The sequence below is a fragment of the Homo sapiens genome, chromosome 13, assembly GCF_000001405.40.
Source record: "Homo sapiens chromosome 13, GRCh38.p14 Primary Assembly".
NCBI lineage: Eukaryota > Metazoa > Chordata > Mammalia > Primates > Hominidae > Homo > Homo sapiens.
The window spans coordinates 19,302,136-19,328,311 of NC_000013.11; the positions used below are offsets into that span (position 1 = coordinate 19,302,136).

Genomic DNA, 26,176 nt, shown 5'->3' on the forward strand with positions numbered 1-26,176 from the left:
TGCTAAGGGCTCAGAAGATCTTTGGCATTTTCTGACAATATTTTAAAATTAAGGTTGTATATTTTAAAGATACAATGCTATTGAAACACATTATAGACTATAGGATAACTTATATATGCATCAGGAAACTAAAAATTTTGTGATTTGCTTTATTGTGATATTTGCTTTATTGCCGTGGTCTGAAACCAAACCCACAATATCTCTAAGGTATGTCTGTATAAGTTCCTAAGCATAGTATGGGGGCATATCTAACTAATGTGTACCATTTTAAGTAGTGGCTGTTCTTGAATTTACACTTTCACATGATTTTAGAATCAGTTTGACTAGCTCTAAGTCCTGTTGAAAGTTTTAAAACAGGACTGAAATGAATTCTTTACAACATAATCTTCCCATTCATGGCCATGATATTCTTCTCCATTATTCAAGTTTTCTTATCTATCTTTCAAAAAAGGACATAAGACACTAGCATATTTCTTGTTAGGCTTTTCCTAGGTAATTTTTAATTGCTATTATAAATAGTATCCGTTTTTCCCATAAAATATTTCTATATGTTTGTATATTAATCTTGTACTGTTACCTTTTTCAACTCTATTGGTTCTGATAACTTGTCAGTTGTCTACCTTTCATCTTCTAGGTAAATATTTCTTACAAATAATGAGATTTGCTCTTACTTTCCAATTTATCTCATTACTTTTACTTGTCTTACTGCACTGGCTAGGACACCCAAGAATACTATTGAATAGAAGTTGTAGAGGGTATCCTTGTTTGATCCCTGAAAAGAATTCTTCTAGCATTTTACCCTTGTATATGATGATTGCTAGAGATAACTTTGAACAAGTTAACAAATTTCTAGTTTGATAAGTTATTTTTTTAACCAAATATGGTGTGGTGGTTTTAAATGTAATCTACTCCAGTTAAAGACTATGACAGTCTATTATTATCACTATCCAAACTCATGAATAACGAACAGTATGTAACAAATAATGCTATATGTTTTACTTTAGCACCCAGGCAGCTCAAAACCGAACTATCTGAATATAACAACTCTACAGAGCATAGACTGCTCATCTATACAACATTGACACTATTCCCTCCCCCAAAATACCACCTATTCTAATTTATATTATTCTAAATATTTTTCTCTTATTTTTCTATTTTATTGAGTGGATTTCCTATCAATTGCCATAAATTTTTAATGGAATAAGATAAAGTATAAATAAAAACTTAAAAAAAAGTGGCTACCTTTGGATTTAAAGTGAAAAATGTGATACGACCAGGATAGTATATCACATGGAGATCTAACACTATGACTAACAAACCTATTGGGTGATGTGAATTAACAATCTGGTTCAGAGGAAATCAAGTATTTAAGCTGAGGTCTGCTTATACACATGGTTAAACTTATTTGTCATGAACCTGCCATTAGTAAATACATGTTAATTTCATGCAATTAAAAAGAAACCCAGAAACCATTAGCATTTTGATTAATACATGATTAATAAAAGTTTGTTGAACATACAATCTTAAATCATTATAAATTCTTTTTGAAAGGTAGGCTGGGTGCAGTGGCTCACACCTGTAATCCTAACACTTTGGGAGGCCACGGAGGGTAAAAAGATTGAACTCAGAAGTTCAAGGCCAGCCTGGGCAACATAGTAGGACGCCATTTTTACAAAAAATACAAATAATAGCCAGGCATGGTGGTGGGCACCTATAGTCCCAGATACATGGGAGGCTGAGGTGGAAGGATCACTTGAGCTCAGAAGGTCTTGGCTCCAGTGAGCCAAGATTGCACCACTGCACTACACACCAGCCTGGGCAACAAAGCAAAACCCTATCTCAAAAAAAAAATAAAAAAATAAAAAATTCATACTGATCTTATTATTGAGTGATAAAACTAAAAAGAAATCACCTCTCCCAACAAAAATGTAAACAGGACCCATAATTTATGATTTGATTCTTTCCTTTGTCCAGCCTTTAACATACATGTTTCTGTAATTTAAATAAAAATTTATGTACTTTTTCCATTTTAGCAAATAGTTTCTTTACCGAAACAGGTTGCACCATAGTCCCCATATGGTTTTCTACTGTTCCACAACCACTATTTCACAAAGATTGACAAAACTTGTATCAAAGTTAAATTTATAGACATCTTAAGGTATCTTAGGAAATATGTAGTAAAAAAGAATCAAGTCCACAAATTATGAATATTTTGCTAATACACCAAACACCAATTTCAGCAAATCCAATCTACTTAACTTGTATGTTTAATGTGGTAATTTTTCTAACAAAATTTAATGGGGGTATGAATGATATATTTACACCCTTGACAAAGATGACATGTGTGATTTTGTTGTGACGAAGAAAGGAGAGTATGATTTCTGGTGATTATTATATTACTCTGGCTCATCAAAGCTCACAGAATATGTAAGGTTCTGCCACATCCAAAGGTGTTAGGCAAACATAATAGAAGGCACACTAGGCTGACACACGTTTTCATCATACAAATCTTCCGGTAGTTCCTCTTCATCTCCATCAGGAAAATACGTAGGGAATGGTAGATTTTTACCGAGATCCTTATATGCAGGCAGTTTAGAATCTCTGACCCTTACTAAGCAATTTTTATGTCCAGGTACAGAGCCATTTACATAGATTATGTTGTGCTTTGTGTTTATTCTCCACACTTTCAGTCCATATACTGTTCTATATATGTTTCCCATTTTTCCAGGCATTTTAGTTCCAGGCCAGACTCTGCCAATGTCACCAGTTGAAATATCTCCAGGTCTCCTGTGGGTTTTCGTTTGACCATGTGTAGCAGGCTGGCCTTTAAATCCCCATCTTTTCATGACACCTTGAAAACCTTTACCAATAGTTTTGGCTGTGACATCCACATACTGTCCTGGACAAAAGTGAGCAGCATAAAGAGGAGTGCCTGGTTTAATTGCAGCATTATCTGTTACATTAAAGATTATAACTGTCTGTTTTGACGGCAATCCAAGTTCTCGGTAAAATTCCAATACAGGTGTAGCTTTATGAAAACGTGATACAGTTTGCCTCCTACAGACAGGGCTGCCGTTTTTCCATTACGGCTTTCCTTTGAAGTATATTTTAGGACATGACAGTCTTGTACCTGAAGTAATGTGACCACGTGCTTTTGACCATCCTTGGTCCATAAAGGCATCATGCCCAGCTTCAAGGCCAACTCTAAAGGAACCTGGTTCCCAAGGATGCATAGGCCATGGTTCATCTTTCAGAGGACACAGTTTACTTGCTAATTGGGTTTTATCTTCATCAGAGACCAACTGCTTAATGAATGGGACATTTTCTTCAGAAAGATGCTCATCCCACCACGTACCACTCTTTCCATGAAGACTTCTAACAAAAAGCCAGATGTGTGTTCTGTTCCCCGGGCCCAGGGCAGCACCCAGGCCATCCCCGACTTGACCCAGCACCTGGGCGCCGACCTGCATCAGCAGCCTCCAACCCGGGATGGATTAGCCCGGGAAGACTCAACTCATGACTTCCGGGTGCCCAGCTGCTCTGCTTTCAGGGCGTCCCCACGCCACCACCACGCGGACGCAGCAGCCATGGGGAAGTCGCTGCAATGGCCGCCAGCCGATGCCCTTCCTTCAACCAATTTTATAAGCAACCAAGATATCCTCCGTAGGTGAATGAATAAACTGTGGTACAGCCACACAGTGAAATATTCAGGGGTTAAAAAAAAGGGGCTATTAAGCCATGAAAAGACATAAAGGAGCCCTCAATGCACATCACCAAGTAAAAGAAGCCAATTTGAAAAGTCTACTTACTGTGTGGTTCCAACTATATGACATTCTGGAAAAGGCAAGACTATGGATGTAATAGAAAGATCAGTGGTTGCCAAAGACTTGAGGAGGGTAGGAAAGGACAAATAGGCAGAACACAGAGCATTTTTAGGGAAGTGGAAACACTTTGTGTGATACTATAATGATGGATACATGTCATTATACCTTTGTTCAAACCCAGAAAATGTACACCACCAAAAGTGAACCCTAATGTAGACTATGAACTTGGGGTGATTATGATGTGTCCATGTAGGTTCATCCATCATTGCAACTGTATCTAACTGGTGAGGGATATCGATAATGGAGAGGCTACGCATGTAGTGGGGGGTGCATATGGGAAATCTCTCTGTACCTTCCTCTCAATTTTGAAGTGAACCCGAAACTGCTCTAAAACTGATCTTTAAAAAATTCTAAACAAAACTTTTAACAAATTGAATCCAATGATATATTAAAAGGATAATATATCATAAGCTAATGTGGTTTATCTCAGAAATGCAGGGTTGGTTTCACATTCAAAATTCACTGTTACTCATCACATTAACAAACTAACAAGAACTATATGATCCTCTCAGTACATAGAGACATTTGATAAAATTAAACATTTATTACTGATTAAGACCAAAAAAACCTCTCAGAAAACTAAGAATACAAGAGAACTTCCTTAGCATGATAAAGAACATCTAGGATAAACCTACAGCTAACATGTGTCATGATGAGAAACAGAATGCTTTTCCCATAAGATCAGGAACAACACAGGGATGTCTGCTTTCACTACTTTTATTCAGTGCATTGAAGATTCTAGCCTATGCATTCAGGCAAGAAAAAGAAATAAAATGGAAGAAAGAGATGAAACTAAATTTACAACCATGATCACATTATAGGGGTGAGTAAACTTCAACCTGTGGGACACCTTCTTGTTTTCATAAATCAAGTTTTACTGGAGCACAGCTATGTTCATTAATTTACGTATTGTCTATGGCTGCTCTCATACTAACAGTGGAGGAGTTGATTAGCTGCAACAGCATCTGTTTTGCCGCAAATCTTAGAATATTTACTGTCTTTAATAAGAGCATACTTCGAGAAAGAAAAGGCTTGACAACCTTTGATCTATGGAGAAAATCTTATCCAATCTACTAAAAAATAGTACACAAAAAGCAAAAGCCGTTATTGAACAAACAGGTCAATTGAACTTCTTCAAAATTAAAAACAAAAGAAACTACCATCAGAGTGAACAGGCAACCTACAGAATGGGAGAAAATTTTTGCAATTGACTCATCTGACAAAGGGCTGATATCCAGAATCTACAATGAACTCAAACAAATTTACAAGAAAAAAACAAACAACCCCATCAAAAAGTGGGCAAAGGATATGAACAGACACTTCTCAAAAGAAGACATTTATGCAGCCAAAAAAACACATGAAAAAATGCTCATTATCACTGGCCATCAGAGCAATGCAAATCAAAACCACAATGAGATACCATCTCACACCAGTTAGAATGGTGATCATTAAAAAGTCAGGAAACAACAGGTGCTGGAGAGGATGTGGAGAAATAGGAACACTTTTACACTGTTGGTGGGACTGTAAACTAGTTCAACCATTGTGGAAGTTGGTGTGGCGATTCCTCAGGGATCTAGAACTAGAAATACCATTTGACCCAGCCATCCCATTACTGGGTATATACCCAAAGGATTATAAATCATGCTGCTATAAAGACACATGCACACGTATGTTTATCGCGGTACTATTCACAATAGCAAAAACTTGGAACCAACCCAAATGTCCAACAACGATAGACTGGATTAAGAAAATGTGGCACATATACACCATGGAATACTATGCAGCCATAAAAAATGATGAGTTCATGTCCTTTGTAGGGACATGGATGAAGCTGGAAACCATCATGCTCAGCAAACTATCGCAAGGACAGAAAACCAAACATCGCGTGTTCTCACTCATAGGTGGGAATTGAACAATGAGAACACATGGACACAGGAAGGGGAACATCACACACTGGGGACTGTTGTGGGGTGGGGGGAGGGGGGAGGGATAGCATTAGGAGATATACCTAATGCTAAATGACGAGTTAATGGGTGCAGCGCACCAACATAGCACATGTATACATATGTAACAAACCTGCACATTGTGCACGTGTACCCTAAAACTTAAAGTATAATAATAATAATTTTTAAAACCTCTCTTTAAAAAATATTAAGAGAATGAAAAATGAAGCCACAAACTGGGAAAAAAATTCTTGCAAAAATCATAGCCAATAAAGGAATAGAATCCAGAATACATAAAGAACTCTTAAAACTCAACAAATAAGAAAACAACAGCATAATTTATTTATTTATTTTAATCTTTAAAAATTTTCCCAAAAGTTATTGGAGTACAGGTGGTATTTGTTTACATGAGTATGTTCTTTAGTGGTCATTTGTGAGATCCTGGTGCACCCATTACCTGAGCAGTATACGCTGCACCATGTATGTTGTCTTTTATTCCTTGCCCTCCTCCCACTCTTCCCCACAAGCCCCTAAAGTCCATTGTATCATTCTTATGCCTTTGTGCCCTCATAGCTTAGCTCCCACATCTCTGTGAGAACATGTGATGCTTGGTTTTCCATTCCTGAGTTACTTCACTTAGAATAATAGTCTCCAGTCTCATCCAGGTCATTGCAAATACCAGCATGATATTTTAAATGGCAATGGATTTGAAAAGACAGTTCTCCAAAGATACAGATGGCAAATAAGCACATGAAATGATACTCAACATTAGTAGTCATTAAGGTAACGTGCATTAAAACCATAATAGTATGCACAATACACATCCATCAGAAAGGCAAAAAAAAAATTTTAAATACCCAGAAGTCCATAGTGTATGTGACAATACAGAGCAAGTGGAGCTCTCGTTTACTGCTGATGGGAATGGATAATGGTACAAATACTTTGAAAAACAATTTAGCAGTTTCTTAATAAGAGGATATGCAGAGGTATCAGGAGACTTTAGCAGGTGATGGATATGTTAACTATCTCCATTACGGTGATGATTTCACAAGTGTGTACATATGTCAAAACTTACCAAATTCTACATCATATACATGTGCCCTTTATCAAATATCAACTATATATCACTAAAGCTACTGATAGCAGGGCCACACATCTAAGACAGTGGCTGGGACACAAACAGAAAGAAGAGTATGAAATGATGCTGCAGACAGCTGGAAAACTGAGATCTTTAACCTTATAGCAATGAGAGTAATAGCTAGGTTTCAAGCAAAAAGTCCTTTCAAGCAAAAGGACAGCATGAACAGATCTGAATTTTAAAAAACATATAATTATGGTTGCCTAATAGACATGATTTAGGAAGGTGGGATAATAAGGAAAACAGTTCAGAAGTTATTGCAGTATTCTAGGTAGTGGACAATGGTAACCTGACCTTGAGGAAAGGCACAGGAGAGAAGCAGAGTCCTTCACATGAAGTACAGTGGAATTATCACAGCTCTTGGGCTGAGAGTGCATAATATACAATCATTCTTACTCTATTTTGACATAAGGCATCCTTCTGAGATGAACATCACTATAACACCTAAGCACTCTATAGAGCAGTGCTAAGCAAAGTGTGCACACATTAATACAGGATACATAAAAAGACCTTTTATTTATGTAATGGTAATGGTCCTACCTTTACAATCCACGCCAAGTTCTTCAATGAGCAATATAAACTTTTTGTAATTAGAGTAAGGTAGCTCACAACACTCTGAGGCTATTTCAGATGACCAAGTTAAGTCATCAAAGCCATCCACAGAATGGATTTGGTTTCTGACCTATGAAATAAATAACGACATATCAAAAATTTCCACAAATAATTAGAGCATGTACTAAATGTAAATAAGTGGTAATCACCCATCTTTTGATATGATCAAAAATGTAGGTACAAGAACTGATTTTTGATTAAAGGATACCCTTATCAATAACTACTACTTTGTTCAACCTTTGTTTTAGGTTCAGGGGGCATCATGTGCTGGCTTGTTAGTGGATAAATTGCACATCACTGAGACTTGGTGTAGGAATAATCCCATCACCCAGTTAGTGAGAACAGTATCTGACGGTTAGTCTTGCAACCCATGACACCATCCCCGCTTTCCCTCTCCCCTGCATGTCTTGATCCCATCTTTGTGTCCATCTGTATTCAATGTTGAGCTCCCAGTTATAAATGAGAACGTGTGGCATTTGGTTTTCTGTTCCTGCATTAGTAGGCTTAGGATAATGGCCTCCAGCTGAATCCATGTGGCTGCAAAGGACAGGATTTCATTCTTTTTATGGCTATGTGGTATTCCATGCTGCCTATGTACCACATTTTCTTTATCCAGACAACTGTTGATGGGCATCTTGGTTGATCCTGTGTCTGTGCTATTGTGAATAGTGCTGTGATTAACATATGAGTGCAAGCATCTTTTTGGCAGAAGGATTTTGAGGTTGGGTAGTGTTATGTCTCTGGCTTTGTTCCGTTCACTTAAGTTTGCTTGGACAATTCAGGCTTTTTGGTACCATTTGAATTTTAGAATAATCTTTTCTTATTCTGTGAAAAATGACATTGGGGCCAAGCATGGTGGCTCATGTCTGTAGTCCCAGCACTTTGGGAGGCTGAGGCAGGTGGATCGCTTGAACTCAGGAGTTTGAGACCAGCCTGGGCAACACGGTGAAACCATGTCTCCACAAAAGATATAAAAATTAGCATAGTGCCATGCGCCTGTATTTCCAGCTACTTGGCAGGCTGAGGTGGGAGGATGGCTTGAGGGCCGGGAGGTGGAGGTTGCAGTGAGCTGAGATCACACTATTGCACTCCAGCCTGGGTGACAGAGTGGGACCCTGTTTCAAAATAAAATAAAATAAACATGACATTGATAGTTTGACAGGAATTGCGTTGAATCCATAGACTGCTTTGGGCAGTATGGCCATTTTTAACAATATTGAATCTTCCTATCCATGAGCATGGATCATTATTCCATCTGTTTGTGTCATCCCTAATTTCCTTCAGTATTATTTTGTAATTTTTATTTTAGAGATTTCACCTCCTTGGTTAGCTGTATTCCTAGGTATTTGATTCTGTGGCTATTGTAAATGGCAAGTATTCTTGATTTGGCTCTCAGATATTTACTGGTGTATAAAAATGGTATTAATTTTTGTACACTAATTTTGTACCCTGCAATGTTACTGAGGTCATTTATCAGATTTAGGAGACTTTTAGCAGATTTTTTGGGGTTTTCTAGTATAGATTTATATCATCCGCAAAAAAAAAAAAAAAAAAAAAAGATAGTTTGACCTCCTCTCTTCATATGTAAATACCTTTTATTTCTTTCTCTTGTCTCACTGTTCTGGCTGGGACTTCCAGTATCATGTTGTATAGGAGTAGTAAGTGTGAGCATCCTTGTCTTGTTCCAGCTCTCAAGGGGAATGCTCCCAACTTTTGCCCATTCAATATAATATTGGCCATGGGTTTACCATAGATGGTTCTCATTATTTTGAGGTGTGTTCTTTTGATCAGTTCTTTGCTGAGGGCTTTTACCACGAAGAGATCTTGAATTTTATCTAAAGCCTTTTCTGAATCTATTGAGATGCTCATGTGGTTTTTACTTTTAATTTTGTTTATGTGTTTAATCAAATTTATTGGTTTCCCATTGAATCAACCTTGCATCCCAGGAATAAAGCCTGCACATTCCGGTGTATTAACTTTTTGATGTGTTGCTGGATTCAGTTTGCTTATATTTTGTTTAGGATCTTTGCATCCATGTTATTCAGGAATATTGGCCTAAAGTTTTCTTTTTTTGTCATCTGCCTGGCAGGTTTTTGGTGTCAGAATGACACTGGCTTCATAGAATGAGTTTGGGAGGAGTCCCTCCTGCTCAATTTTTGGGAATAGTTTCAGTAGGAGTGGTACTAGTTTTTCTTTGTATATCTGGTAGAATTCAGCCATGAATCCATCTGATCTTCAGCTTTATTTTTCATTGGTAAACTTTTTATTACTGATTTCGTTTTGGAATTCATTCGTGGTCTGTCTAGGGTTTCAATTTCTACCCGGTTCAGCTTTGGGAGGCTGTATGTTTCTAGAAATTTTTACCTTTTTTTGTGGTTTTCGTGTTTGTGTGCACAGAGGTGCACACAATAATCTCTGAGGATTTTTGTATTTCTGTGGAGTCAGTGGTTATGTCACCTTTGTCATTTCTGATTGCAGTTATTTGGATCTTCTCTCTTTTTTTCCTTATCAACCTAGCTAACAGTCTATTAATCTTGTTTATTCTTGCAAAAAACTAATTACCAGTTTTGTTAATCTTTTATATGGATTTTTGCATCTCAAATTCATTTAGTTCAGCTCTGATTTGGGATATTTCTTTTATTCAGGTAGCTTTGTGGTTGGTTTGCTCTTGTTTTTCTAATTCCTCAGGTGCGATATTGGTTCTTTATTTCAAAATTTTCTAACTACATATGTAGACAGTAAGCACTATAAACTTTCCTATTTACGTTGCTTTAGCTGTGTCCCAAAGATCTGCTATGTTGTGTCTCTATTTTCATTATTTTCATAGAATTTTTTTATTTCTGTCTTCACTCTTTATCCAAAAGTCATTCAGAAGCAGGTTATTTAACTTCCATGTAATTGTATGGTTTTGATACATCTTCTTGGTATTGATTTCTATTTTCATTGAGCTGTCACCTGAGAGTGTGGTTAGTATGATTTTGCTTTTTTGAATCTGCTGAGACTTGCTTTATGGCCACGCATGTGGTTGATCTTAGAGTATGTGCCATGTGCAGATGAGAAGGATGTATTAATATATTATATGTTTGTTGGGTGAAGTTTTCTGTAGCAGTCTATTAGGTACAATTGGCCACATGTCGAGTCTGATCTAACACTGTGCAGGGTTGACCTCTCCCACTATAATTGTGTGGTTGTCTAAATCTCTTTGTACGTCTCTAAGAATTTATACATCTTCGTGCTCCAGGTTGGGTGAGAGTATTTATTTAGGATAGTTAACTCTTCTTGTTGGATTGAGTCCTTTATCATTATATAATTCCCTTCTTTGTCATTTCTGATTGTTATTGGTTTAAAGTCTGTTTTATCTTATGTAAGAATAGCAACCCCAGCCCTTTGTTTTGTTTTCTGTTCACCCAATAGACCTTTCTCCATCCTTTTCCTTTGGGCCAATGGGTGTTATTACTTATGAGATGAGTCTCTTGTAGACAGTTGGGACTTGCTTCTTTATCCAATTTGCCACCGTGTGTTTTTTCAGTAGAGCATTTAGACCATTTATATTCGAGGTTTGTATTTCAAATGAAAAGGATTTAATTTCTCCCTTGCTTACAAAGCTTACTTTAGTGGGACATGAAATTCTTGGTTGGAATTTCTTTTCTTTAAGAATGTTCAAAATAGGCCCCCAATCCCTTCCGGCTTGTAAAGTTTCTGCTGAAAGGTCTGCTTTTAGCCTGTTGGGGTTCCTTTCACAGTAACCTGCCCCTGTTCTAGTCTAGCTGCCTGTAAGATTTTCTCTTCTGTGTTGCCCTTGGAGAACCAAATGACTATGTGTCTTGGGGATGGTCATCTGGTGTAACATCTGACAGGGGTTCTGTGAATTTCTTGAATGTGTGTTTTCACCTCTCTGGTGAGACTGGGGAAATTTTTGTGGGCAATATCTTAAAATATGTTCTCCAAATTGGGTGTACTCTCTTCTAATCTTTCGGGATTGCTACTGAGTCATTGTTTTGTTCTCTTTACACAATCCCATATTTCTCAGAGGTTTGATCATTAAACATTTTGTTTTATATTTTTGTCCGCATGTTTTGCCTTGATGGAGCACTCTTCAATGTCAGAGATTCTTTCCTCAGCTTGGCCTATTCTACTGTTAATGCTTCCAATTGTATTTTGAAATTCCTGTAGGGAATTTTTTACTCCCAGAAGTGGAGTTGGGTTCTTTCTTAAAATAGTTATGTCATCTTTCAACTTGGATTGTTTTACAGCTTTACTTGGATTGGGTTTCAACCTCCTCTTATTTCCTGATGAGTTTCCTTGCCATACAAACATTGAATCCTGTTTCGAATATTTCAGCCATCTCCATCTGGTTAAGCAGCATTGCCAGGGAGCTAGTGTGATCATTTGGGGGTGAGAAGACACTGGCTTTTAGAGCTGCCAGAGTTCTTGTGCTGGTTCTTTCTCATCTGTGAAGGCTGATATCCTTTCTTCCTTTTAAGCTGCTGTCCTTTGGCTTTATAATTTCATGTTTGAGGGTTTGACTGTGGTACAATGTAGGTATAGATGAGTGGCTTCATTTCTGGATGCTTTCAGAGGGCCAAAGCTCAGCTCCACACTCCTGTGCTGAGTGCTCTAACCCTAGGTGGTTGCAACTGGGCCTGTGGCTTTGTTCTCTGGTCTCTTGTGGTTGACCACTGGATGACCTGGGGGAACCAAGGTGCTCCCAGACCACTGGCAAGAGAACTCCATTGGGTGCTAGGGATGATAGGGCTCTGGTGGGGCAATGGAGGGCCGCGAATAGAAGCACTCCAGAGGGGCTGCTGGGGGCGGAAATGCTTTGGATGGTAGGTGGGGATTCCTTGGGCAGCAGTGCCTTCAAGGGGTGGCTGGCTGCTGTTTCTAATTACTTTTTCAAAGTAAATGTCTTTACAATCACAGATTCTCTGTTTTTCACTTTACCTCTTATAATGTATTTTTTAACAATCATATTCACGATAACATATTTTTTAACAATACCTTGTCCTTCTCGTTAGATGTTTTCTTTGTAAGCCTAAAACAACAAACAGTTCATATCAGGCAAACAACAAATATGTAAAATACAAAGAATATCTAAAACTATTGTCTTGTGTATAAAATCTCTGTATTTGTATTTCTCCTATTCTTAAAGTTTACAGGTAATTTTTTTTTTCTTCTTTTGAGACACAGCCTTTCTCTGTCACCCAGGCTGGAGTGCAGTGGTGCGATCTCGGCTCACTGCAACCTCCACCTCTGGCTTCAAGCGATTCTCCTGCCTCAGCCTTCCAAATAGTTGGGATTACAGGCACGCGCCACCACACCTGGCTAATTTTTGTATTTTTAGTAGAGACGGGGTTTCACCATGTTGGTCAGGCTGGTCTTTACTCCTGACCTCGTGATCCACCTGCTTCGGCCTCCCAAAGTGCTGGGATTACAGGTGTGAGCCACTGCACCCAGCCTACAGGTAATTTTTTTACGGGGAATGGAAAATACAATTATTTTATACAAGGGAGATTAAACTACAAACAGAAGAAGCAATATTAAGGGACAAAGAAAATATACTACTAATTAATAATACAACCAAAAATTAAATTTAGAGTAAGCTTTCTGACAGCCACAGCAAAAGGAAAAACAGGTTACTTGCATTATTTGATAAAAGATATATACCATTTTTTGTTATTATCATTTTTGATGAAAACAAGCTATTTGGAAAATATTACTTGTGTTCTTATATGAGAGAAACTCCCCTTAAATGATATTACTTAGCTTTTTCAGGCCTTACTAAGCAGTTTGGATGCTTTCTTCTAAGCAATGTACATCTCGTAAAAATGTACTTTAATTCTCACGGCAACTATGTGAGGTAGGTAACATATCAGCTATTTTATGAAGGAAGAAATCAGGGACAGAAAACTCATGTAACTTTCCCTAGCCCATACAGCTGGTCGGTAGCAGACCCAGCATTCAAACCCAGGAATTCTGGCTCTAAAACATGTGTTTCACAACATGCCATGAACTCAATATTTATTTTCAGCTGTTTTTAAGTGATATGATAGCACATTAATCCAGACTTTCATTCTATTTCTGGCCAAAACTATAAGCAATATTTTCTGAATCTTGCAATTAAAAAAATACTAAGAACTTATACCTAGGCAATTTTAGAAACCTACTTTCAATGAACGAATAATTCAATTTTTCCTAAAGATCCATCAACAGGCATTCATTCATCTATTCAACTGTTTATTCCTGCATCCAACTAATGCTTCTTGAGCACACAATACATGTCAGTTGGTCCAGGAAAATATGGTTGTTATACTTGAAAACTGTATAATCTAAGAGTAATAATCCTTGATAGATCATCAGTAGCTTGCTTTTCTATTGTACATAAACAAAATCATCCTCTTCTCCCCAGAAGCCAAACAGCTATAGAGTTGACATATCTGATATTTTTGAGTACCTCACCAAATCATAGCTATTTATGATGCTACTGTCAAAGGCATTGTAATATATACAATCATCAAGAATTATGTAAATACTATTTAGTATGACCTAATGTTTGTACATTTATTATTACATTACTTTTAAAAATCTATCTACAATAGTTTAACTTTTCGGTCATCATTTTTATGTTCAATTTCATTAGAATATTCCATTTCCAACTCAATTCTGAAGGAACAACCTCTTACCATAAAATTATATATGAATAGAAGGAGGGAAAAGAATTAGTTTACTATAAATCTTTAAATAACACTGTATCAAGCTTTCTAACGCTTAGACATGCAAACCAAATTAAATCTCATAAGCATGCCCTTCTCTACCAGATCAATTACAAAAGAATACAAACATACTCTAAAAACTTCTATGTTAAAATAAAAGAAGAAAATACCCTTGAATCCCGTATTTCTCTTCACTTATTACCCATTTCTTTATTGCCTTTCTCAGACAATGTTCTCTCTAGAGATGTCTACTGTCATCCACTAGAGTCAGGGTTCCATGGTGACCATTTATTGAAACTGCTCCTTGTCAAACCCACTCATCCTTATCTTAATCAATCTTTCAGCAGCATTGCTACTGTTGAGTATTCTGTAGCTTTGAAATATTTCACTGTTCTATTTTCAGAAAAAGTAATCACTGCTAACGTTCCTTTACAGAGAAATAAAGAACTTGTCAATTTTACCTTCTTTCTTCCTCATCTATTTCAGTTAAACTGCTCTCATCAGTCACTTGCAGCAGATCAAGAGTTATTAAATCAGCCTTCTTAAATACTAGTGAAGTCACAGATTCTGTTGTGGTCCATTCTTCATGTTCATTTTTCTTTACTTTCTTCATATGCAAGGCAGGGACACTACTTCAAAAAATTCATTAAAAGGATAATGTTGTCTTTTTTATTTTATTTTATTATTATTATACTTTAAGTTTTAGGGTACATGTGCACAATGTGCAGGTTTGTTACATATGTATACATGTGCCATGTTGGTGTGCTGCACCCATTAACTCATCATTTAGCATTAGGTATATCTCCAAATGCTATCCCTCCTCCCTCCCCCGACCCCACAACAGTCCCCAGTGTGTGATGTTCCCCTTCCTGTGTCCATGTGTTCTCATTGTTCAATTCCCACCTATGAGTGAGAACATGCGGTGTTTGGTTTTTTGTCCTTGCGATAGTTTGCTGAGAATGATGGTTTCCAGTTTCATCCATGTCCCTACAAAGGACAAGAACTCATCATTTTTTATGGCTGCATAGTATTCCATGGTGTATATGTGCCACATTTTCTTAATCCAGTCTATCGTTGTTGGACATTTGGGTTGGTTCCAAGTCTTTGCTATTGTGAATAGTGCTGCAATAAACATACGTGTGCATGTGTCTTTATAGCAGCATGATTTATAATCCTTTGGGTATATACCTAGTAATGGGATGGCTGAGTCAAATGGTATTTCTAGTTCTAGATCCCTGAGGAATTGCCACACTGACTTCCACAGTGGTTGAACTAGTTTACAGTCCCACCAACAGTGTAAAAGTGTTCCTATTTCTCCACATCCTCTCCAGCACCTGTTGTTTCCTGACTTTTTAATGATCGCCATTCTAACTGGTGTGAGATGGTATCTCATTGTGGTTTTGATTTGCATTTCTCTGATGGCCAGTGATGATGAGCATTTTTTCATGTGTTTTTTTGACTGCATAAATGTCTTCTTTTGAGAAGTGTCTGTTCATATCAAAAAGGATAATGTTTTCTAATAATTCTACAGACAAAAAATAATAAACCCAATTTTTATAAAACTGCAACTCTTTTCCATCTCAATTCATTTACTAATACAAAAACCTGTTATGAAGTACCAACAAAATACAAGGAAATGTATATTCTCTGCCTCAAAAGACAGGTAAATACACAATTATAATACAATGCAACATGTAACAGCTGATAAATGAAAAGTTATTTCTGAGCACAAAGAAGGCTTTACAGAAGCAGTAAAATATAAGGGAAGCACATGAGGAAAAAAGTACACGAAAATCATCCTACTTAGAGATCAGGATGTGAGCACAAAGACTGGGTACATGGCATCTAGGTGATTCTTAGGAACCTGAAGAGAAAGTGTAAAATAGAAAGAAGCAAAAAAAAAAAAACAAAGATGCTTTTCTGTAAAGTTTTAATGAGCAGAAAGCATCTGGTTAAAGTCACCTTCCGCTTAGGAAAGGACTGACTGGTAGCCATGGCAACAAGTGGCTACCCAGAACCAGTTTTAAATCTACTCAGTCAATGACCACTGGCCTCATCCACCAACCAATCAATGTCAGCTGCTTGCTTTTGATAGAGAAACAATCAGAGACAAACTCACTCCAATCAGTGAGCCTGGAAATGCCAACCAATCCACAACAATCTCACTCTGATAACCATGCTGCTCCAGATGATATCAACCCATTTATTCCTTTAAAACTCAGCCAATTCTTCAACTCCACTCTTCCCAAAACCCTATGTAAGATCAGCAGCTGCTCCATCAGAAGAGACTGTGCTTGACCAGCACATCTCTCCTACTATAGGTGGAAATGAATTCCAACCTTGCCTCTTTTTTTTCAATCACTGAAGGCTTCTAACGCTTTAGGAAAATGTTTTCAACTCAATTACATCTACCACCCCTATATTTTATTTTGCTTAATAAAATACAAATGAAGTTTGCAATTCCTTTGATCCACAGTACCGTAGTTAAAACTATCATAATTACCAGAAAAAGAATAATTTGTGAATAACCACAATATTGGGCTTTTCTCCCTAGATGGAAAGAGCCAACAGAATCCAAAATATGCATATAACTTCCAGATAAAATTGTCAAAATGAACCCATATCAAATTGGTTTTTAAGTAAGAATCCATTTAATGTCTAAATCAATATACCCAGGGTAAACTCCATTCACTCATTTAATAAATACTTATTAAGTTGATACATACTATCTGCTAGGCACTTTTCTAGGCACTGAGGGTACAGCAATAAATAGGAATCCCACTCAAGAGTGAAGTAAACACACAATAACAAATATAATTGATAGGCAAAATATATAGTATGCTAGAGGAGAAAAACTAAAGCAGGAAATGAAAGGTTTATGGGTCGGGGAGGAGGGCTGGTGGAAATAGTAGAATGACCAGAAAGGGTTTTGCTGAGAATGTGGCTGTTAGGCAAAGACCTGAAGGAATGGGAGGGTCAAGCCAGGAGGATATCTGAGGGAAAACCATCCCAGATAGAGTGAACTGCCAAGTACAGAGGTAAGTCTGGAGTGCTTCAGGAACAGCGAGAAGTTCAGTATGGTTGGAACGGAGCAAAAGGAATAGAAAAATAGATGTTTAAGTTGGAGAGCTAACAGGTCAGGTCACACATTGCCTTTTAGATACTAGAACATTGGCATATATTCTGAGAGAAATGAGAGGCAATTAGGTTTTGAGCAGAGGAGTGCCATATATAACATGTTTTAACAGGTCCTCTGGGCTAAGAATTAATAAACAGAGAACTAAGAAAAAGAAACAAGATCAACTGGCTTCCTGTAGGATCTAGTCTGTTACACTCATCGAGACAGAACATGGTAGTGGCTTGAACATGGAAGATGGAAGGAAGACTGGCTTTTGGATATATTTTGAAGATAGGCTTCATAAGATGTGCTGACAGATTAGATGTCAGGTATCAGAGACAGAGAAAGAGAGAGGGAGATGAATCAAGGGTGACACCAAGGCTTATTGGCAGAGCAACTGGATGAGTTGCCATGTACCCAAGTAGGAAAGACTACCTGTGAGGAAGGTATGAAGAAGAGCATCAGAAGCCCGATTTTGGACCTGACAAGTTTGCAATACTCAATAGGTGACCAAAGAGAGGCGTAAAGGAAGCAGTTTGATATTCACGTCTGAAATTAAGGAGAGAGACCTGGGCTGGAGATACACATTTGGACATCATTCTCAATACACAGGGTAGTAACAGTCATGAGAAAGAAGACTGAGGACTGAGTGGTGGGACATGTCAATGTGTGAAAGGTAGGGGATGAGGAGAAGCAAGCCAAACAGACTGTGATGGATGGACTAGAAAGGCAGGAGAAGCCAGGTGAGGGAGCGAGATCCTGAAAACCAAGAGAGGGAAGTGCTGAGGAGCAGAGAGTTAGAGAGTTCTCTGTTGAGTCAGGCGTTGCCGATAGGTTGAGTAAAACGAGGTCTCAGAAATTAAGGCTGGATTTATTAAAGTGAAAATCAGTGGTAACCTTGAGAAAAACAATTTTGGAGGAGTGATGGGAGGGCAAATTACTGGAGTGACTTTTAGAGTGAATGGAAAGGAAATGTGAGCCCCTTGAGTAAGGCAGTTCTCTCAAGGTCATCATACCTAAGTGGCATGATCATGAACCATCTAATTTTCTTGCGGTTTAGCTGCATTTTTCGAATCTTATATGAGTATACAGTCTAACACTTTGAAGATCTTTTAAATTAAATACATATGGCATTTAAAAAATGCAAAACCAAGGTATTATAAGTTTATAAAATTACAGAACTAAAAAGACTACCTGAACATTTCTAGATTATGGAAGCTGATCATCATTTTGCTCATAGTTATAATTAAATATCACAGAAAGACTAAAAGTTTCATGGGCAGTATTTTGTGCTTGATAAAAGCCATTCAACTCTAGGATATTTTATCCTCATCAAATATACAGAGTAATGACTCATATTAAAATACTGAGTTCCACAACAGGAATAAAAGGGGATCAATGAAGGAAACAATCTTATTATAGAAACTAAATTTTTGTAAATTATATAATATGAAGTCCTTAACGTGTATGTATTCACACAAGTCATGGCTTCCTGTAGGATCTAGTCCCAGCACTGAAGGTGTCAGGTGAAAGGAATGACACACTACTAAATTAACATTCAAGAAGAATTTACCAATTTCATTTACCCACAGCGTATGAGAATCCCTTTTTCCTCACATTTGTCAACACTGGTTATCATTTTTTAATAAAATATTGATACAATTGAAAAAATGGTACCTCTTTTTTTCTGCATTTTTATGGTCAACAGGCAAGGCTGAATATCCCTTGTAAAAGTGTAAAATTTGTCAATCATGAATATTTGCCCAAATTTGGATTACTTTTATAGTACAGTGGAAATGATCTACTGTTAAATATTGCTGTAGGCTTACCTATCACACTCTTCCTGCTCTGTCCTAGGAATTTGCTGACCATCAGTTTTTCCATTCTCTCCTTGTTGAATTAACCCATTATCAATACGGTCATCTGTGGAGACATCATGTAGGTTTCTTGATGCTTCTGTTTCATTCCTTGCATGTGTCTTCCTTTCTCCCTCCGCCTTTAGTGAAAGTTTCATAGATAGGATACTTGTTATCATTTTATTCATTGAAAAATTGTTCTGTTTTCATTGATTTTATCGCTTCACAGTTTAACTTTCACAATTTTAGTCATTAAAATATTTTGTACTTATGTTATCATTATATATAGGATTATATATAGAATTATAAGATATAAGTAGCATAATTTTATCACTGACATTTGTATAAAGTTAGCTTCATTTCTGTGTGAGTGAATGCGACAGGATTTTCCAAAATTTCAAAAGGGCTCTTCTAAATTTTGTCCTTTTATTTCCATCCATTCTTTGCTACCTCATATGAATTTTCACCCATTTAACTGGGAAGAAACAGAAATAAAAAGACGAAGACACAAAATGTGTCATCTTCTGCCTTTTCCTCCTGGATTTTACATCAAACAGCCAGATTTAGAGGATGTGACATTTGGGGCTTCAGGAAGAGAAAGGAAGCTTTCCCCTTTCTTCACTAAGCTATTCTGTTTCCCACCACCTTTTATAATTCTTTTTTCTTTTGGCTCCTGGGATATCAAAAAAAGTGAAGGTGCTCACTGAAATATATATATATATATATATATATATATATATATATGTATATATATACACACACACACACACACATACAAACACACACACCCACACAATCGGCCCAAAGAACACCAGATGAATACTCTGAAAGACTATACCATGCCATATAGATATCAGACTGTCTAAAGTCAACAGGAACGAAAAAATCCTACAATCATCAAGAAGAAAGCATCAAGTCATCTATAAAAGAAACCTGATGAAACTAACAGCCAACTTCTCAGCAGAAGTCTTACAAGGCAGAAGAGATTGGGATCCTATTTTCACAATGCTTTCAGAAATAAACTGCCATCCAAGAATTTTCTCTCCAGCTAGAAAAAGCTTCATAAATGAAGGAGAACAAAAGTCTTTCCAAGACCAGCAAATGCTGAGAGTATTCTTCACCACTAGATCAGCCCTACAAGAAATGCTCAAAGAAGGCCTAAACATGGAAAACAGCTGTCAATGTTCATCATCATAAAAACACACTGAAGTGTAAAATTCATAGCTGGTGTACAGTGGTTCATGCATACAATGTGAGCATTTTGGGAGGCCAAGGCAGGAGGATGACTTGAGGCCAGGGATTTGAGACCAGCCTGTGCTATGTAACAAGATGGCATTTCTACAAAAATCATTTAAAATAAATTAGCTGGGTGTGGTGTGTATGCCTGTAGTCCTAGCTACTTGGAGGCTCAGTAGGCAATTCTTATCTTGCTATAAAGGATTACCTGAGGCTGGTTAATTTACAAAAAAAGGAAGTTTAATTGGCTCACAGTTCTGCAGGCTGTGCAGTAAGTGTGACATTAGCATCCGCTCCTGGTGAGAGCCTCAGGAAGCTTAAAATCACGGCAAAAGGCAAAGGGGAAGCAAGCACATCACATAGCAAGAGTGAGAACAGGAGCATGAGGAGGGAGGTGCCACACACTTTGAAACAAGCAGCCCTCATGTGAACTCACTTAATAGCAAGGGGATGGGCTAAACCTTTCAGGAGCCAAATGCTCCCATCATCCAGTCATCTCCTATCAAGCCCCAACTCCAACACTGGGAATCATATTTCAATAGGAGGTTTAAAGGGGACAAACTTCCAAGCCATATCATTCCACCTCTGGCCGCTCAAATCTCATGACCTTCTCAAATTTTGAAATATAATTATGCATTCAAAAAGTTCCTCTAAGTCTTAACTCATTCCAGCACTAACTGAAAAGTCACAAGGCCCAAGTCCAAAGTTTCATTTGGAGATGAGTTCCTTACACCTATGAGCCTGTAAAATCAAAAAGAAGTTATTTACTTCCAAGATACAAGAATGCTACAGGCATTGGGCAACGATTCCCATTCCAAAAGGGAGCAATTGGCCAAAATTAAGGGGCAACAGGCCCCAGGCAAGTCAGAAACCCAGCAGGGAAGTCATTAAATCTTGAAGCTCTGAAATAATCCTTTTTCTGACTCCATGTCTCACATCCAAGGCACGTGGTTGCAAGGTGCGGGCCCCCAAGGCCTTTGACAACTCTGCTTCTGTAGCTTTGCAGGCTGCAGCCCCTATGGCTGCTCTCACATGTTAGAGTTGAATGCCTGTGGCTTTTCCAGGTGAAGGGTGCAAGATGCCAGTGGATCTACCATTCTGGGGTCTGGATGTCAGCAACCCGCTTCTGACAGCTCCGCTAGGTGGTACCACAGTGGGGACTTGGTGTGGGGAATCCAACCCCATATTTCCCTTTGGCATTGCCCTAGGAGAGGCTTTTTTTTCCCTGTGAGGACTCTGCTCCTGCAGCAGGCTTTTGCCTAGGCACCCCGGTTTTCCCATACATCCTCTGAAATCTAGGTGGCAGCCACCAAGCCTCCTTCACTCTTGGATTCTGTGCACCTGCAGGTTTAACAACATGTGGAAGCCACCAAGGCTTATGGCTTGTGTTCACTGGAGTGGCAGCCCAAGCTGTACCTGAGCCCCATTGAGCCACTGAAGCCAAAGTGGCATGGATGTGAGAAGCAGTGTCATGAGGCCAAGCAGAGTTAACAGGGCCCGGGCATGCCCCCTGAAACCATTATTTCTTCCTAGACCTCTGGGCCTGTGATGAAAGGGGCTGCTGGGAAGAGCTCTGAAACACCTTCAGGTCATTTTCCCCAACATTTTGGATATTAGAACTTGGCTATGTTTTAGTTATGATAATCTCTCTAACAAGTGGCTGTTCCACATCCCATTGTATTTCTCTCCTGAAAAGGCTTTTTCTTTCCCTATGACATGGCCAGGTTGTACATTTTCCAAGCTTTACACTTTGCTTCCAGTTTAAATACAAGTTGCAACTTTAAGCCATTCCTTTTCTCCTGTATCTGACTGTAGGCTGCTAGAAGCAGTCAGGCTATTTCTTGAACTCCTAGCTGCTTAGAAATCTCTTCTGTCAAATACCCTAAGTCATCATTTTTAAGTTCAATATCCACAGATCCCTAGGACTTGGGCACAATGCAGCCACATTTTTTCCTAAGGCATAACAAGGGTGATCTTTATTCCATTTCCCAACAACTTTTTCATTCCATCTAAGACCTGGCCTTCACTGCTCAGATTCCTATCACATTTTGGTTCTGACCACTTAACAAGTCTCTAAGTTCCAAACTTTCTCTCATCTTCCTGTCTTCTGCTGAGCCCTCCAAACTCTGCCAGTCTCTGCTCACTGCCCAAACCCAAAGCTGCTTCTGGTTTTCTGGTATTTTTATTGTAACACCCAAACCCAAAGCTGCTTCTGGTTTTCTGGTATTTTTATTGTAACACCCAATCTTTGATACCAATTTTCTGTGTTAGGCCATTTTTGGATTGTTATAAAGAAATACCTAAGGCTGGTTAATTTATAAAGAAAACAGCTTTAATTGGCTCATGGTTCTGCACACTGTGCAGGAAACATGGTGCGAGGGCCACAGGAAGCTTACAGTCATGATGGAATGCAAAGGAAGTGCAGGTGTGGCACATGTTGAGTAGGAGAGCATGAAGGGGGGAAGTGCCACACACTTTCAAACAAGGATATGTAAACTCAGAGCAAGAACTCACTTTCACCAAAGGATGGGGTTAAACCATTCATGAGGGATCTGACCCTATGATGCAAACGCCTCTTACCAGGCCCCCCTCCAACATCAGGAATCACATTTCAATATGAGATTTGAAGGGGACAAACATGCAAACTATATCAGAGGCCAAGGCAAGAGGATCACTTGAGCTTGGAAATTTGAGGCTGCAGTGAGCTATGATTCCACCACTGCACTCCAGTCTGGGTGACAGAGTGAGACCCTGTCTCTAAAATAAATCAGTAAATAACATAGAATAAAATTAACAGGATTTCTAAAAGCAGTTATACAAAGGGCGAGAGAAAGAAATCAAATGGCAACATGACAGAACTCCATTAGACCACAAACACAGACAGAAGGAAACAAGAAACAAAGAAATTTTAAAACAACCAGGGAACACATAACATTACAACAGGAATAAAATCTCACGTATCAATATTAACCTTGGATTTAAATTGATTTAATGCTCCACTTAAAAGATATAGATTGGTGGAATAGATTTAAAAACATAACCGAACTTCATGTTGCTTACAACAATCTCACATTAACTGTAAGGACACTTGTAGACCAAAAGTAGTGGAAGGGAAAAATATACTCCATGCCAACAGAAACCAAAGGTGAGCAGGAATAGCTACACTTTTATCATATAAAACAGACTTTAAATTAAAAAAAGTAAAAAAGACAAAGAATGTCATTATATTATAATAAATGGATTAATTTAGCAACAGGATAAAAACAATCCTAAATATATATGCAACCTAAAACTGGAGCACTCAGATTTATACAACAAATATTATTAGAACCACATATAGAGATAGACAGCAATACAGTCTGAGTGGGGAACTTCAATACTCCACTGACACCACTAGAGAAATTATTGAGACAGAAAATCAAGAAAGAAAATTTGAACTTAAATTGGATTTCAGACCAAACTGATCTAACCAGTATTTACAGAGCATTCTACCCAGTAACTGAAAGCCATACCTCCTACTCATCAGCACATGGAACATTCTCCAAGATAGACCATATGTTAGGCCACAGAATAAGTCTCAATAAATTTTTAAACATCAAAATCATATCAGGTATCTTTTGAAAACACAGTGGAATAAAACTAGAAATCTTAACCAAGAGAAGCATCAGAAATTATAGAAATATATAGAAATTAACATGCACTGGAATGATCTTTGGGTCAGCAAAGAAGTGAAGATGGAAATTAAAAAAAAAATTTTGACACAAATGGCAATGGAAATATAGCATACTAAGTCCACTGGAATTTTATGACATTAAATGCCTACATTAAAATAATACAAAGAATAATAAATTAACAACCTAACATTGGCCTTAAAAAATTAGAAAACTAACCACAAACCAAATCCAAAGCAGAAAAAAGAAATGACAAAGATCAGAGCAGAACTAAATGAAATAGAAACCAAAACAACAATACCTAGGATCAAAAAACCAACAGCTGACTCCTTGAAAAGATGAACATAATTGAGAAAGCCCTAGCTACACTAACCAAAAAAATGAGAGAAAATTCAAATAATCAAAATCAGAAATAAGAAAGAAAACACTAAAACTGATACCACAGAAATAGAAAGGATCGTCAGAGACTATTTATTATAAACAATGATTTGCTCCCATAGTAAAAAACCTAGAGGAAATGGAAAAATTCCTGGAAACATACAACCTCCTAAGATTAAACTAGGAGGAAATAGAAATCCCAAATAAACCAATAATGAATTCTGAAACTGAATTACTACTAAAAAACCTCTGAACAAATAAAAGCCCAGGACCAGATGGATTAACAGCCAAAATCTACCAAACATACAAAAAAGAGCTGGTACCAATCCTCCTGAAACTCTTCCATAAAATTGACGAGGACAGACTTCACACTAACTCATTCTATGAAGCCCATATTAACTTGATACCAAAACCAGACAAGGACACAACATAAAAAGAGCACTACAGACCGGTATCCATGATAAACAGATATGCAAAAATCCACAACAAAATGCTAGCAGCCTGAATCCAACAGCACATCAAAAAGATAGTAAGAACATTATGATCCAATGCGTTTTATTCCAGGGATGCAAGGAGGGCTTAAGTTAGGCAAATCAGTCAATGTGATTCATCACACACAAAATTAAGGACAAAAACCTTTAATCATCTCAATACACGTGGAAAAAGCATTTGATAAAATCCACCATCCTTTCATGATAAAAACTCAACAAACTAGGCATAGAAGGAACATATCTCAAAATAATAAAGGCAATATATGATAAACCCACAGCCAACATCATATGGAAGAGGGAAAAAGTTGAAAGCATTCCTCTGTAAACAGGAACAAGACAAGGATGCCCATTTTCACCTCTCCTGCTACTGCAAGTCCTAGCCAGAGCAATCGGCAAAGAGAAAAGAAATAAAAGGCATCCAAATTAAAAAAGAAGAGATCAAATTTTCTCTATTCACTGATAGTATGCTCTTATGCCTAGAAAACCCTAAAGACTCCACAAAAACCTCCTTAGATTTGATAAATGAATTTAGTAAAGTTTCTGGATCAACACACAAAAATCAGTAGAATTTCTCTACTGCAGCAACCTACAGATTCCACCCAATTCCTATCAAAATCAGCGTGAGAACTGAATCAAGAAGACAATCCCATTTACAAATAACAACAAAAATAAAACAAAATAAAATACCTAGGAATATATGTAACCAAGGAGGTGAATGATCTATACAAGGAAAACTACAAAATATGGTGAGAGAAACTGTTGATGACACAAATAAATGAAAAAACCCATGCTCATGGATTGAAAAAATTGATAGCATTAAAACGACCATATTGCCCAAAGCAACCTGCAGATTCCACCCAATTCCTATCAAAATACCAACATGATTTTTCACAGAATTAGAAAAAACTAAAATTCATATGGAACCAACAAAAAGCCACAACAGCCAAAGAAATCCTAAGTAAAAAGAACAAAGAAAAACTGGAAAATAATTAAAATTAGAAAATAATTTAAATTCGACTGTTAAAATTATTACTCTATGTCTAGCTCCTCCTAAATCACTGGATTATAATTAAGAAGTAAAAAATAATTTACCTCGCCCTAAAGTAGGAGTGAAACATGAACCAGCAAACTGTCAT

At 37.5% G+C, this 26,176-nt stretch overlaps 2 pseudogenes across 1 annotated transcript in view; both read right to left on the bottom strand.

The window, feature by feature from the left end:
• ANKRD26P3 (ankyrin repeat domain 26 pseudogene 3) overlaps nucleotides 1–26,176 on the bottom strand; it is an 82,174-nt pseudogene that overhangs the window by 39,336 nt on the left and 16,662 nt on the right. Inside the window, exons 7-10 of the transcript NR_027248.3 lie at nucleotides 19,238–19,404; nucleotides 14,752–14,919; nucleotides 12,579–12,612; nucleotides 7,506–7,647 (exon numbers count right to left, since the gene is read on the bottom strand). The product of NR_027248.3 is annotated as an ankyrin repeat domain 26 pseudogene 3 (transcript). The remainder of the gene's footprint in view (nucleotides 1–7,505; nucleotides 7,648–12,578; nucleotides 12,613–14,751; nucleotides 14,920–19,237; nucleotides 19,405–26,176) is intronic.
• Nucleotides 1,942–3,625, bottom strand: MRPL3P1 (mitochondrial ribosomal protein L3 pseudogene 1; annotated as a pseudogene).